At 42.0% G+C, this 14,924-nt stretch overlaps 1 protein-coding gene across 9 annotated transcripts in view, besides 3 other annotated features; it reads right to left on the reverse strand.

Annotated features, from left to right (window-relative positions):
- SRGAP2B (SLIT-ROBO Rho GTPase activating protein 2B) overlaps positions 1 to 14,924 on the reverse strand; it is a 208,093-nt gene that overhangs the window by 124,302 nt on the left and 68,867 nt on the right. The window lies entirely within an intron of this gene.
- Positions 7,164 to 8,033: an enhancer, noted in NCBI's record as "H3K4me1 hESC enhancer chr1:143989479-143990347 (GRCh37/hg19 assembly coordinates)". NCBI's record gives its function as "activates a minimal SCP1, AML or CMV promoter by ChIP-STARR-seq in primed H9 embryonic stem cells {active_cell/tissue: H9 hESC(primed)}" and the evidence as "EXISTENCE:reporter gene assay evidence [ECO:0000049][PMID:30033119]".
- Positions 7,463 to 7,657: a silencer, noted in NCBI's record as "fragment chr1:143989855-143990048 (GRCh37/hg19 assembly coordinates)". NCBI's record gives its function as "represses an EF-1alpha promoter that drives an FKBP-Casp9 reporter gene in an ReSE screen in K562 erythroleukemia cells {active_cell/tissue: K562}" and the evidence as "EXISTENCE:reporter gene assay evidence [ECO:0000049][PMID:32094911]".
- Positions 9,772 to 10,641: an enhancer, noted in NCBI's record as "H3K4me1 hESC enhancer chr1:143986871-143987740 (GRCh37/hg19 assembly coordinates)". NCBI's record gives its function as "activates a minimal SCP1, AML or CMV promoter by ChIP-STARR-seq in primed H9 embryonic stem cells {active_cell/tissue: H9 hESC(primed)}" and the evidence as "EXISTENCE:reporter gene assay evidence [ECO:0000049][PMID:30033119]".

Raw genomic sequence — 14,924 nt, forward strand, 5'->3', positions numbered from 1 at the left:
GCCAGGCCACAAATCTTCAGAGTTATTATTGACTCTTCTCTTACAAATTCCCAATCCAATTCATGAGCAAATCCTATCAGCTCTACCTTCAAAATGAGTCTAGAATTCAACCCTTCCTATCCCTTCCACCTTTTGAACAGTGCAACTCAGCCTCATTTTGTTCTGAATTGCTGTGGTAGCTCCTAACTGGTCTTGCTGCCTCCTCCCTTGCTTCCCTGCAGTCTACTCTCCACACTGCAGCCCTGCTCATCATCTTTCAATGGCTTCCCAGTGGAGAAAAGCTAACGGCTTTCCAAAACCTTACATGGCCCAGTTCACCCTTACTCACTGGCCCCCAGCTACACTGGCCTCTCTGGTCATAGAACATGGCAAGCAAACACCCACCTCAGGGCCTTTGCATATGCTTCCCTTCGCTGGAAGCACACTTCCCCACAGTCACGTGGTTAGCTCTCTCACTTCATTGAGCTCTCTGCTCACAGCAGCCTTTGTGACCACTCCATCTGAAAGTGCCCCGACACTCTCTATGCTCTTACCTCATTTTAATTTTTCTTCATGCCACTTGTAAATCTATTTAGGTGTTTATCATTTTCTCCTCCCACTAGAGTGTAAGTTCCATGATGGTAGGGACTTCACTTTGTTCCCTGCTGATCCCCGATGCCACAGTGCCTCACATAGAGTAAGCACTCAATAAAGGCACATTGAATGAATGAATCAAGAGCTGTTTTTTGGGTGATGGGATTTGGAACAATTTATTGCTGGCTTCTTTTTACTTTTCAGTTTTGCTTGAATTTTTTATAACGAGTATTTACTTTTTTAAAAAAATAAGCAAGAGTTATTCCTTTAAAAATTAAAAAAGGAAACCCATCAAAAATCAAAGGAGAGATGCATTATCTAGTCACCTCTGCTATATTTTGACAAGTGTTTTTCCTTCATTATTTATGATAGCTACAAAAGGATTCACAATGTAATGCCCACGGGGAATTTTTCATAATTAATGAAACCTCTTTAGAATGAAACCTTTACTGGAACAAAAGTTTTAATTGCCCAGGGCTGACCATGGAGTATGAAGACAAAGCTCCTGAGTAAGAATAAAAATTTGCAAGGTTTTCCTAAATTTTACTCCCCACTATAATATTTTTTTCAATATTGCTACCATAATCCAGATGCCAGAATCCAGGATCTGTTGGCATCCTGAAACCCAAAAAGTGTGATGGGCCAGGTGTGGTGGCTCACACCTGTAATCCCAGTACTTTGGGAGGCTGAGGCAGGCAGATCACTTGAGGCCAGGAGTTCAAGACCAGCCTGGCCAACATGGCAGAACCCCATCTCTACTAGAAATACAAAAAGTAGCCAGGCATGGTGGTGCACCTGTAAGCCCAGCTACTCAGGAAGCCAAGCCATGAGAACTGCTTGAGCCCACAAGGCAAAGATTGCACTGAGCCGAGATCACACCGCTGCACTCCAGCCTGGGTGACAGAGCAACACTCTGTCTCCAAAAAAAAGTGTGATGATCTTTCATAATGTTTAAATACAAAATAAGAATATCCCTTTCAAATAAGCTGACACTTTTTGAACATGTAATAACCAGGTTCACAGAATCACAGAGGCCAGTGAGAAGAAGATTTAAAAGTACCCGTGTGAGCCCCAGTGACACATGCACCACCAGGAAAGTTTCCTGTCCCTGTCCCTCCAACTAATCCACAGCAACACAATGTCAGCAAGTGGCACAATCTGCCTCCCCTGCCTCCAGGCAGCCATGGGGAAGGTGGAGAGCAAAAGGACCATTCCCTGTGTCACTGATAAGTGAGGCTCAATGTGAAATACAAGGCATGAGAGGCGCCCAAAGGTAGGCAACAAGCTCAGTATCTCCCCTGTATCTTTCTGTCTCAGGTATAATCTGCATCTTCTGCTCTTTTCGTGATAAGAAAAGGAACAGCAACAGCATGTCTACTATGCAAATGTGGACTACTAATCTGGCATCATGGAACTTAATGTAGAAGTTTATGCAACCCTGAGCAAGTTTCAAAACCTGGTCTCCTAACACATATGTCTAAGTTTTCTAAGGCTCCTGACCAAGCAATAGACTGTGAACACCCCAGAAGTTCAAGCAGGTCTTCCAGGGTCTTCACACTGCTAACCGCAATCATGGCAACTCCTTCGTTTCCTTTTTTAAAAAATCAACAACCTTATTGTCTTCCCAATTATCCCTTTATAATTGGGCAGTTTAGAGCCTCAGATATATCAAGTGAGTATGCACAACGATTAGGGGTGATGAGCTAATAAACATCATTATCTAGGCCATGGTGGTTTTGCAACCACCACTTAGGCCAAGATGGTATGAGCATTCTACAGTTTTTCACTGCTCTTATTCTTTGTCATATATCATAAAATGTACAGTCATAGTGGACTGTGGATTAAAAACAAGAAGTTGGCTGGGCATGGTGGCTCAAGCCTATAATCCCAGCACTTTGGGAGGCCGAAGGGGGAGGACCACTTGAAGTCAGGAGTTCCAGACCAGCCTGGCCAACATGGCGAAACCCCATCTCTACAAAACAATACAAAAATTAGCCAGGTGTGGTGTAGGCACCTGTAATTCCAGCTACTCGGGAGTCTGAGGCATGACAATCACTTGAACCCAGGACGCAAAGGTTGCAGTGAGCAGAGATTGCACCATTGTATCCAGCCTGGGCGACAGAGTGAGACTCCATCTCAAAAAAAACAACAACAACAAACGAACAAACAAAAAAACCAACAACAAGAAGTCTAAGACATTGATAAAACCCAATTGTCAACTAGAAGCATAAAAAACAGTACCAAGGCATCCAATTCACATCTAGATGATTTTCACCAGATCACTAGGTTACATTTACCTGATTAAATCTTTAGTATTTCAAAATCCAATATTAAAGACATAAGATATAGAGATAACCATATCCAAATTGGCTTTGTAACTGTTAGAGGAAAGGCATTCCATAGCTACAAGGTGTTACTCCCTTGTAGATATGCAGTTGAAACTCTCTGTGGTAACCGCTACCATGTAGAAACAAAACTTAAAAATTACATGTAAGAAGCAGTCATTCTAGAGTGTGAAATGCAAAAATTCCAAACATTAGGTCAAGAATGCAGGTTTCTCTTATTTTTAAAAAATGTGTTAGCAAGTAATTAAATTTCCAACTATATTTTTAATGTATATTTGGTCTCAAACTAAGCACTATATTTTATTATAAATTTTAAACAAATCACACGCTTACATAATTCATTTAAATAAATTAGTGTATATCACCTATTAAATGAGAAAACATCTTTATATAAAATGGACGCTATTAAATTTTAAAGTGTATATTAAAATAAGCTGTATAATAATTTAATAATGTTGATGTAAAAGAAAATATTTTACATAAATTTGCTTTATAATAGTCTATAAAAGTAATGACATTATTTTTTAAATTCCTGAGGGGGTTCACAAAATTATATTACTCTGAAAGAAGTTCATTTTTTTTTTTTTGAGACAGAGTCTCACTTGGTTGCCCAGGCTGGAGTACAGTGGCATGATCTCGGCTCACTGCGGCCTCTGCCTCCTGGGTTCAAGCAATTCTAGTGAGCCTCAGCCTCCCGAGTAGCTGGAATTACAATGGTGTGCCACCATGCCCGGCTAATTTTTGTATTTTTAGTAGAGATGGGGTTACACCATGTTGGCCAGGTTGGTCTTGAACTCCTGGTCTCAAGTGATCTACCCGCCTCAGCCTCCCAAAGTGCTGGGATTATGGGCGTGAGCCACCATGCCCTGCCCAAGTTCATAAATTTTTAAATGTTGGGAAATACCAGTCTAATATAAAAGTCTTTTTAGTCAGACTCCAGTAATTTAAACCAGCTTCTTGGGCCTGCCTTCCAAAGGAATCTAGTCTACCAGAGAAGACAGACTACCATAAGAAGTAATTGCAATGTAAAAAGCCCATTATCGGGGAAAAAGACGATGCTGTAGGAGTATACAGAAATTGGTCTAGGGCTCAGCAAGAGGCTCGCAGAGGAGCTAGACGTAAAGGATTGGAATTACCTATGGGAAGAAGGCAGGAAAAGTACTCCAGCCAACAGCATGTTCAAAGGCCCAGAGGCAACAGAAAAGAAGCTGCATGCAAGGAACCGAAATAATCGAAGAAATTCAGGGTAACTGAAGCATAGAATTTAAATGAGAAGAGGAAAAAAAGATGAGACTGTTGAAAGAAGCAGGGGTCAAGCTCTGGTGAGTATTGCAAATAGTCTGAAGAAGTATGGAATTGTTCCTAAGAGCAATGGGAAGCTATTAATGTGAACACAGAGTGGGAATTAGATAAGCAAAGTACAATGTTTTTAATGACATAAGTGTTCCCCTCCAACAGAGAGCCAAAGTAGAAGGGAAATGTGAGACTTTTCATTTTCAGAGGGCTCAAGTGTTCTAAGAATCTTCTAATAATGACTCCCTCAAGCTGAATCTTCCAAATAAAGCAAGATGCAAATACTCCCCCTCAAAATGCTGACAGCCTGGTGATCCAAAGGCTAGCAAGAAAATGACCACATGCCCTGACCTTGCAAGTAGATCAGTCTCATCGTTTAGATATTACAGACAGCCCCAGAATCACTGTGTGAGTCAGAAGATTTGGGCCTCTGAGTTTCACTTTCCTCATCCTAGAAACTGTGGTAAGAATTTATCCCCTGCCTACCCACCTCACACCATTTAAAGGCCACTTTTCAACCACATGCCTCAATAACATAAGTGGAAAAGATTCTACCAACTGCATTGACTCAATCCACCAGAAAAAGACAACAAGAAGCAAGAAAATGCTTCATAACGTACAGTATGTCTAAAGTTATCAAGCTGCCTGATCATTTCACACCTCTGAAAAAACATCCTACTGTTCAAATCCATAGATGGGCATATTCAGAATTTGCTTGAGGCAGGAACAAAATTCAGAGCCAAGTCAGCTAGCAGTAAGAAACACTGAACTAAATAAAAGAACCAAATGAAAGACATTAAAACTTAGCATTTGATTCAATCTGGTTCCAGGCTTAGGTTGGATGCAGCTGACAAAAGTGAATCAGCCTGGAGCTGGTGAACTCAGGTTCTGGACCCTGAACACACTACATGACTTGCTTTGATAGAACTTCTGTAGAATTTGTCATGATTTTACATGTCTCAAAAAGTTATTAGTAATTTTAAAAATCAATGAGAATGTAAAAGCAAAGTGTTACAGGTTCCAACAAAGAAAAGCACTCAAGTTTTTTTTTTTTTGTTTTTTTTTTGAGACGGAGTCTCACTCTGTCGCCCAGGCTGGAGTGCAGTGGTGCGATCTCTGCTCACCGCAAGCACCGCCTCCCGGGTTCAAGTTTTTTTTGTTTGTTTGTTTGTTTTTTGAGACAGAGTCTTGCTTTGTCACCCAGGCTAGAGTGCAGTGGTGTGATCTCAGCTGGCTGCAACCTCCACCTCCTGGGCTCAAGCGATTCCCATGCCTCAGCCTCTGGAGTAGCTAGGATTATAAGTATTTTAGTAGAGACAGGATTTCGCTATGTTGGCCAGGCTGGTCTCAAACTCCTGACCTCAAGCGATCTGCCCAACTCAGCCTCCCAAAGTGCTGAGATTACAGGCATGAGCCACCGCACCCAGTCTCAAATTCTTATTACTATGTTTGCCAGTATTTTTTAAAGATATGATAAAAAAAATGGTTTTAAATTATTTTACAGGTCTCCAGGTTCCCTGGGCAGGTGTGTATTATGTCAACTTGATTTAAAAAATTTTTTGACATTAGAATACTTTTAGAGGAAAAGACACAAAATAACACAATAGCTTGACTGGATGAACCTGATTCCCTTGGAAATTTCATTTTCCTTTTCAACAAAGTAGTCTTCCCCAAATTTTAGAAAAAAAAAACCCGTATCCCAGTTCTTTATTATTAAATGGCACATTTCTCAGAATAAAAGGCTGAAAGCATAGTTCCTCTAATTCATAAACTGGAGCATTTTACACTGTATTATGACACTCAGTACAATGTACAATAATTAGCAATTTACATCTGTCTTCCCTGCCAGGTTAGGAGCACCGTTAAGTCCAAGACCATGTCTTATTCATTGTTATATCCCAGCACCTAGCGCAGAGCTGGCATAAATGTTGAACTAAAATAAATGGAAATGAGTTGTGCTTTCCCTGTCTTTAACAATGAATCTTTGGCGGATTCCAACAAAGCCTCAGAGTTAACTATGTGCAGATCCTGGGTCAGCTAAGGCTCACAGTAAAGATTTCTTCCTAATTGCCTCTATCTCCACTCTTCCTTCCCCTTCCCTCTCCACCTCCAGAGGGGAGTTCCCGCTGGAAATTGCACAATTCTTTGTGCAGAGAGAAACAACAAGCTTAGTTCCTGTTGACCTGAAGAGCATAATGTTCTGGCACAGAATCTTCCACCTTCATAGAAGAGTAACAAACTCAATTGGGATTATTTTTCTAACTAAAACTGTCATTTGATGTCTTCTTTTATCTCACCAAGATACAACCTTCTGAGCCACTCATCTTCTATCCTCATCAGTTCCATAATAAGCAAATACAACTTTGGGACAGTCTGAGACAGCGTTTTCTGAATTTTTTCTGACCACAACCCATAATGAGCAATACATGTTATAATGTGATCCAGTATGTGAACACATGCACACTCACCCAAAAAAGTCTGACACAACAATATTTACCCTTTTTGCATCCAATTCACTTTACAATTTTTCATTATTTTTCTATCCTATTCCATTTACATTTTGAAGAAAGCTGGTGAGTAGTCAGCTAAAATGGCTCCACAACCTACTCTGCAAAGGAGTTGCAATCTGCACTTGGAAAAACACTGGTCTATGGACAGGGCTCTGGTCAGTGTTCTCAATAACAGTTTGGAGACTTTAAGCAGTAACACGACAGCTTTCAAAAACAAAACAAGGGCTGGGCGCAATGGTACGTTCCTGTAATCCCAGCTATTCAGGAGGCTGACGGGAGAATTGCTTGAGCCTTGGAGCTGGAGACCAGCTGGGGCAACATAGTGAAACCTTGTCTTAAGAGGAAAAAAAAAATACAAAATCAGGTACACAAAATGAAATTCTCATCCAAAATAAACCATTCTATATCCTTCCTTGAAAAACCACACCAACGCTGGACTTTGTAGCACAAAGACTTGTAAGGAGGTCGGGGCTAGACTAGATCCAGATATGCCTAATATTCAACTAGGCCAAAAGAACTGCCCCCTCGCCCGCCAATGAAATGAAATGCCTCCAAAGTGATCCTCTGGCTATGTACATCCGCTAGCATGCAGGTGGGTAATGAAGAGAGTGGAGACAACCAGCCGATTTCTTCCTGGACTTTCTGAGTTTCAAAGTGCTTTCACTTCTATTATTTCATTTAATGAGATGCTGTCAGAAAGTTCATTTCCAGAACTGGAAAGTATTAGGTGGTAGAGAAAAGCATTTCAGGGCCGAGCACGGTGGCTTATGCCTGTAATCCCAGCACTTTTGGGAAGCTGAGGCAGGAGCATCACTTGAGTCCAGGGGTTCGAGACCAGCCTGGGCAAAATAAGGAGACCTTGTCTCTACAAAAAAAAAAAAAAAAAAAAAAATAGCCAGGTGTGGTGGTGCATGTCTGTGGTCCCAGCTATTTGGGAGGCTGAGGTGGGAGGATTGCCTGAGCCCAGGAGGTCAAGGCTGCAGTAAGCCATGATCACACCACTGCACTCCAGCCTGGTGACAGAGAGACCCTGCCAAAAAAAAGAAAAAAAAGAAAAAAGTGTTTCAAAATGCTGTCTGGGGTAAGAGGGTTAACAGTGGGAAAACATGTTCAGAAATTAACTAAAATAATGTCAAATATGCCAAAAATCGTAAGTATTTGAGATTCTTGAAGCAGACGAAGGGAAAGGTTGGGTTGAGAGTAAGCTATATAAGTATTCCTGTTCTGTATGCCAGAGAATGGGGGGTGGGGGCGCATGGAATCTCATCAATTTACCAAGTCCCAAAAAGAGTAGGTTCCAGGTCTCTAGTAAGGCTTCGATGCCAGGTTTTGTATATTCTCCCTTATAATCAACTTTCCCCTCAATTCTTAGAAAGATCTTATGGAGTTCAGAAGACGATAAAGATGGAAAGTTGTAAGTCCTGAGAGATATAATTGATGTAGATATAGATATTTACAGAATAAAAGCCAACAGCCTAACATGGTATGATGTAATCAGGCATCTCCTCCCTTCCTCCTAAAAACCTCTCACCCTCTCCTCTCTGACCTCATCTCCTAGTCCTTTTCCGCCTCATTCCCACCAGAGCACTCTGCTTCAGCCACAGTGGCCTTCTTGCCATTCCTCAAATACACCAAGCACACTTGAGCCTTAGGGCTCCACCTTAAGGCCTTTAAACTGGCTGTTTCCTCTGCCTGAAATGCCCTTCCCCCAATATCCACGTGGCTTACACTCTTACCTCCTTTAAATTTTTGCACAAATGTGACCTATTCCATGAGGCCTCATCTAAAAGCTCCCTACCCCTTATTTTAAAATGCAACCTGGGCCAGGCACAGGTAGCTCACACCTGTAATCCCAGTACTTTAGGAAGCTGAGGTGGGAGGATTGCTTGAAGCCAGGAGTTTGAGACCAGCCTGGGCAACAAAATGAGACCCTGTCTCTAAAAAATAAAAATTAAAAATTAAAAAATTAGCCAGGCATAGTGGTATGTGACTGTGGTCCCAAGTACTTCAGGAGGCTGAGGCAGAAGGATCCCTTGAGCCCAGGAGTTGGAGGCTGCAATGAGCTATCATGGTGCCACTGCACTCCAACCTGGGCAAGAGAGAGAGAGACCTTGTCTCTTTAAAAAAAAAAAAAAAAAAAAAGGTAGAAGAAGAAAGAAGAAAAAATTTTAAAAAGCAACTCCCCTCACAACTACCCAGCATTCTTGATGCTCCTTACTGTACTTATTACCTTCTAAATACTAGCAATTTATATATTCATCATGTTTATTGTTTGTCTCCCTCTTCCCCAACTGAAATGTTAACTCACAGAGATCTTTATTGTATTGACTGAAATAAAGCATCTAGAGTAGTGTCTGATACATGATCATCAAAAATACCTGTTGCACAGATGAATGAATGAATAAATGAATGAATAATTGTAAAACATATAAGTATATCTTCACCTACTTGGTAGTGGCTAAAAGAAAAAAAGGGTCTTCTACTCTATTTTCTTCTCTTTTTTTTTTTTGAGACAGTCTCACTCTGTCACCCAGGCTGGAGTGCAGTGGCATGATCTTGGCTCACTGCAAACCCTGACTCCCTGGTTCAAGCAATTCTCATGCCTCAGCTTCCCAAGTAGCTGGGATTACAAGCGTGCGCCACCATGCCGGCTAATTTTTTAAATTTTTTTATTTTTGCATTTTTAGTATTTTTCACCAAGTTGTCCAGGTTGGTCTAGAACTCCTGACCTCAAGTGATCTGTCCGTCTCAGCATCCCAAAGTGCTGGGATTACAGGCAAGAGCCACCACTCCCAGCCAGAGGGCCTTCTACTCATAGATAAACAACTGAAATGCAAATGTTCACGGACAGCATTACAATGGTCAAACTACCAGGATAAATTAATAATATCAGATCCTCCTCTGTTTTCATGAGGGAGAAGTTATCTGCAAGGTAGGATTGGCAGCCACCACAAAGGAAGGGAAAAGAGCAAAGACAGGAGGGATTTAAGACAAAAACAGCAACTTTAAAAAGTTCACTACTTATCCATGAGTTATTTCTATTAACCTTTAGCAAAGCAGGAACAAACAAGTTTTAGGAAGATAATTTTGTCAAGCTTCTGAATACCATCATCTAGACTGATTTATTAAGAAATATGTCTTTACCTATTTAATATAGACTTCCTTATAGAGCAGCATGGCTCTGAAGCATGAAGAAAAACAATTTTGCCTCATTTTGGCAAGATCCGAAACCAAATTTATCCAATAGCCAGACTGTGAAAGTCACCAAAATTTTGGGTGTGACTATTGGCCGTAAAGAGTGATAGATGGCCTGAACAACATGGAGAAATCTCGTCTCTACTAAAAATACAAAAATTAGCCGGGTGTGGTGGCACATGCCTGTAATCCCAGCTACTCAGGAGGCTGACGCAGGAGAATCTCTTGAACCCAGGAGGCAGAGGTTGCCGTGAGCCAAGGTCACGCCATTGCACTCCAGCCTGGGCAACAGGAGCAAAACTCCGTCTCAAAAAAAAAAAAAAAAAAGAGTGATAGATGACCATTTGGGGATGTATCCTAAAAGCCAACAGCTTGGATATCCAATCCTGGAACTTCAACAGGACTAGGCAGCAAATACTCAGCTGCTGTGCAATTAACAAATTCAGAATCCGCAGCTTGCTTCCCTGTGGGAAGGGCACCACCCTAAAAACAAAATAAAAGAAGATTCCTCATCCATCTACTCCTCAGTTTCACTGTGGAACTCATGCCCTGGAGAGAGGTAGGTTTATTTCTCATCTGCAAGCAGAGTTCCCAGCCTAAGGAAAACCCCAGAAAGGATTTCAGGCCACAAGGAGGCAATTTCAGAAGGATGAGGCCATAAAACAATTATAGAGGAACGGGTTAATCTGTATCTGGTCATAATCCATATGCCCAAAGCAACATCACTACAAGGTAATCTAACATCAGTCACTGGCTTTTCAACCCAGGCAATTTTCTTCACTCCACCTTCCCACCCTTCCTCAACTCCACCCCCTACCCCACCCCCCAACCCCACACACAAAAACAACAACCAAGTTTTATATAAGGGAGGGGAAGTGGAAAGAAGGCAGAGGGTTAAATTTCTCACATCTAAGGCTCTCGGCAACCTGAATTTACTGAAGCCACTCTCCCAGGAGGGGGCATATTGTGACCAAGCTTTCCTGCTTACCTCCTGCCATCTGCAAAATTAAATTAAATGGTCCTTCGCTTCTGAAATCCTGCCATCAGTGACCAAAGGGAACATCTGAGTATACCAGTCAGAGATCATGGCTTTTCTTTTTTACCAACACACACAAATCATTATGAGATTAAGTTTCTGAATGGCTAATGTGCATCTTCATAAAGAAGCTAAACAATCAGTCTAACACCCACATGGACGGGGTTGAAAGGGACTAGAATTGCACTTGCTGCTGCCTTGGAAGATGATTAAAAGCAGGACAGGCAGAAAGATGATGGCATTTTCACCTCACTTTCACGGAGTAGGGATATTGGGGATGGACATAGGAAGTCAAGCGCCAAGAGCTAAAGGGTAAGAGAAAAGGGCTATTAGAAGGCAATGGGGCCTGGCATGGTGGCTCACACTTGTAATCCCAGCACTTTGGGAGGCCCAGGCTGGTGGATCACGAGGTCAAGAGATCGAGACCATCCTGGCAAATGTGGTGAAGCCCCGTCTCTACTAAAAATACAAAAATTAGCTGGGCATGGCGATGCGTGCCTATAGTCTCAGCTACTTGGGAGGCTGAGGCAGGAGAATCACTTGAACCCGGGAGAGGCGGAGGTTGCAGTGAGCAGAGATCGCGCCACTGCACTCCAGCCTGGTGACAGAGTGAGACTCTGTCTCAAAAAAAAAAAAAAAATTTAAATTTAAAAAATTAAAAAGAAGGCAATGAGAAGACCCCTGGAAGGGAAGAATATCCCCTCCAGTCTCCTCACCCCAAAGGAATTGCTCTCTAGGGGGTTAAACCCATAGACATTAGAAAGCCTGTGGTCACCACACTACAGATGACTGCTCTAAGGCAAATAGAGATTTAAAGCAAAGCAGGGTATTCCTGATACTTTTTGACCTTTTTGCTCTGCCAGTTTCCATTTTCTGACCCTAAAACCCAGACAAAAGATTCTGATGTCTTTAGCCATCTACCCCCCACCTTCCCCTGACTGAACAATTTGATTTGACAATTATTTCCACACCTACCTAGTCTGATTTCCAACACGACTAAATTTGGAACAATGGAAGCAAGTGGGTGAAAAGGAACAAAGAAAATAAAATTCAGGAAATGACAATCTTCAGAGTAACAATATATAATTTGAAAAGTAACTCAGACCAGGAACAGACTTTATTTGAATATAAAATTACATACAAATCATATTTAATTCAAACCACTTCAATCCAACAAATCTTTACTGAGCACCTACTACTATGCCCTGCGGGGAAAGACAAAAAATACTTGGTCAGAGCCCCATCCAGTCTAAAACACAGCAGGCTCCCATTCCTGCACAAAGAGACTTTGGGGAGAACCTGTAAAGGCTCTTGATTAGGGATATATCATAAAGAACCTGTGCCCACCTAAAGATCACTCTTAACAGCATTTTTGGACCCATTTATCACCTCCACAACTCCAGAATGGACAAAGAGGAAAGTTACAGGGACTGAGGTGGAGAGAAAAAATAATACGATTGCCAGCAAAGCTCAGGAATATACGCTTTTTGATGAGACACCCGGAAGGGAGAGTAAAAGAAAGAATCTTTACATCATATTTTTCTTTGAGAAATTACAATCCACAAGAGAGGTTGTTCACCAAGATTTTTTTTTAACCACCCTAGTTTTTTGTTTGTTTGTTTTAGACAGGGTCTTGCTGCGTCACCCAGGCTGGAGTGCAGCGGCATGATCATAGCTCACTGCAAGCTTGAACTCCTGGGGTAAGGCAATCATCCCACTCCAGCCTCTGGGATTAGCAGGGACTACAGGAACACACCATCACACCCGGTGAATTTTTTATTTTTTATTTTTAGTAGAGATAAGGTCTCACTACATTGTCCAGGTTGGTCTTCAACTCCTAGGCTCAAGTGATCCTCCTGCCTTGGCCTCCCAAAGTGCTGGGATTACAGGCATGAGCCACCATGTCCAGCCCATAGTAGTTTGTTTTTGTTTTTGTTTTTGAGACTGAGTCTTGCTTTGTCACCCAGGCTGGAGTGCAGTGATACAATCTCGGCTCACTGCAACCTACGCCTCCCGGGTTCAAGCGATTCTCCTGTCTCAGCCTCCTGAGTAGCTGGGATTACAGGCACATGCCACCACACCCAGATAATTTTTGTATTTTTAGTAGAGACGGGGTTTCACCATGTTAGTTAGGCTGGTCTTGAACTCCTGACCTTGTGATATCATAGTTTTTAATAAGCTCATTTCTCTTTTCCCCTATCTTGTTCTGAAAGACATAGAATTTTCAGAGGGAGAATTAGGAATAAAAGTATCTCTTGATCTGGGATCTAGGAAAAAATACTAGGACATCAGAATCAACTGAATGAAGGGATAGAAAAAAAAAATCCAAGAAATTGGGAACAAGGGAAGTCTGCAAAGCTCCTGGTCCCACAACGTCTACACTCCCAAGCCCAATATCCCGTTGTAGAAGCACTTAGTCTGAAATCATAAAAACAACTTCAACCCATAAATTCTCATCTCTCAACACAGTGACCACCCACAGACGGATTTTTACGAAAATGAAGAGTTCCCCTAGAAGCCTTAACTCTGAGGGTCATCAAAATTAGAACAATCTTTTTTGAGCTTACACACTGCTGTCCTCAAGGGTTGCTCTGGGGTCAGTCTGAAACTGAAGTGATATCAGACCTCTCTGACACTTATTTCTAGTGTCAGTATCTGCCAGCAACTCGCCAAGAGCAAAAGTCCAGGGAGCCCCTTCAGGGAGAAAGTTTCTCACTCTGGATCCCAATTCTACTCTGAAAAATTCAACTGTACAACTAATATTTTACAACAAAGAGGTTCCATTTTAAAAACCCAAGGACACAGAGGGACAGCCAAGGTGACAAGGCTCAAATTCTGATAGAAAATATAAATCCCCAGATATCCTCTTCCCCTGTCCAAGGGCAAAAGCTGACCAGGCCTAGGGAGGAAAGACTCCTGTACAGTCTGGTACACACCACTCCTTCTGCTCATTCCTCCCAGCAACCACTCTTGTTGGGAGATGAATGCAGTCAAATGTTCTCCAGTGATGCAGAGCATTCTCCCATTCTTCAGGGCTTCAAAACAAAGCCAAAGAGCTGCCTGCTGTATTTCTGTACTCTTATAACACAGTGAGATCCAAGGACTTCCAACCATCTGTGTGCCAACCCCCAGCTACTCTAAGACGTAAAAAGTGGAACAAAGGACTTTGTGGCTGCAAAGATGGAGAGAAAATGATGGCTTAAAAGAAAGGCATATCGTTTTCCTTGATAATTATTTTCTTCACTTTGCTTTTCTGTATTTTCCAAACTGTCTATGATAAGCATGTTGCTTTTCTAATTAGAAAAAGCAGGAAATGTTATTTTAAATGTTTTTTTAAAATCAGCAGAGCACTATCCTGAACGCTTTAACGCAATGGTCTGGGGGTACCTACAACACGCCTTGGGGAGGGCAGGGGATGGGAGGCGGAAAGGGAAAGAATGAATGAAAATCCAGTTTTTAAAAAGAGGAAAAGAAAAACTAGGGGGTTGGGGAAAGATGGGGATTTCCTATGCATTAATGTGCACACTTAGACTAAAGAAAAAAATTGCTGGGCACAGTGGCTCACGCCTGTAATCCCAGCTCTTTGGGAGGCTGAGGTGAGTGGAGGAGCTGAGCTCAGGAGTTCAAGACCAGCCTGGCAAACATGGTGAAACCCCACCTCTACCAAAAATGCAAAAATTAGCTGGGCATGGTGGCGCATGCCTGCAGTCCCAGCTACTCAGGAAGCTGAGGCAGGAGAATCGCTTGAACCCAGGAGGTTGAGACTGCAGAGAGCCGAGATCGTGCCACTGCACTCCAGCCTGGGTGACGGAGCGAGACTCCATCAAAAAAGAGAAAAACGAAAAATAAAAAAATTAATTTATAGCAGTAGGCACCTGGTTAGTATACTGCACAAGAAAGTACTCAAAATAGAGAATCATTATTTCTGGGTATGTTCTGAGAAGGAAGATTTCTACTTGGATATATTTTACC

Source organism: Homo sapiens, chromosome 1 (assembly GCF_000001405.40).
Source record: "Homo sapiens chromosome 1, GRCh38.p14 Primary Assembly".
In the NCBI taxonomy this organism is placed as follows: Eukaryota; Metazoa; Chordata; class Mammalia; order Primates; family Hominidae; genus Homo; species Homo sapiens.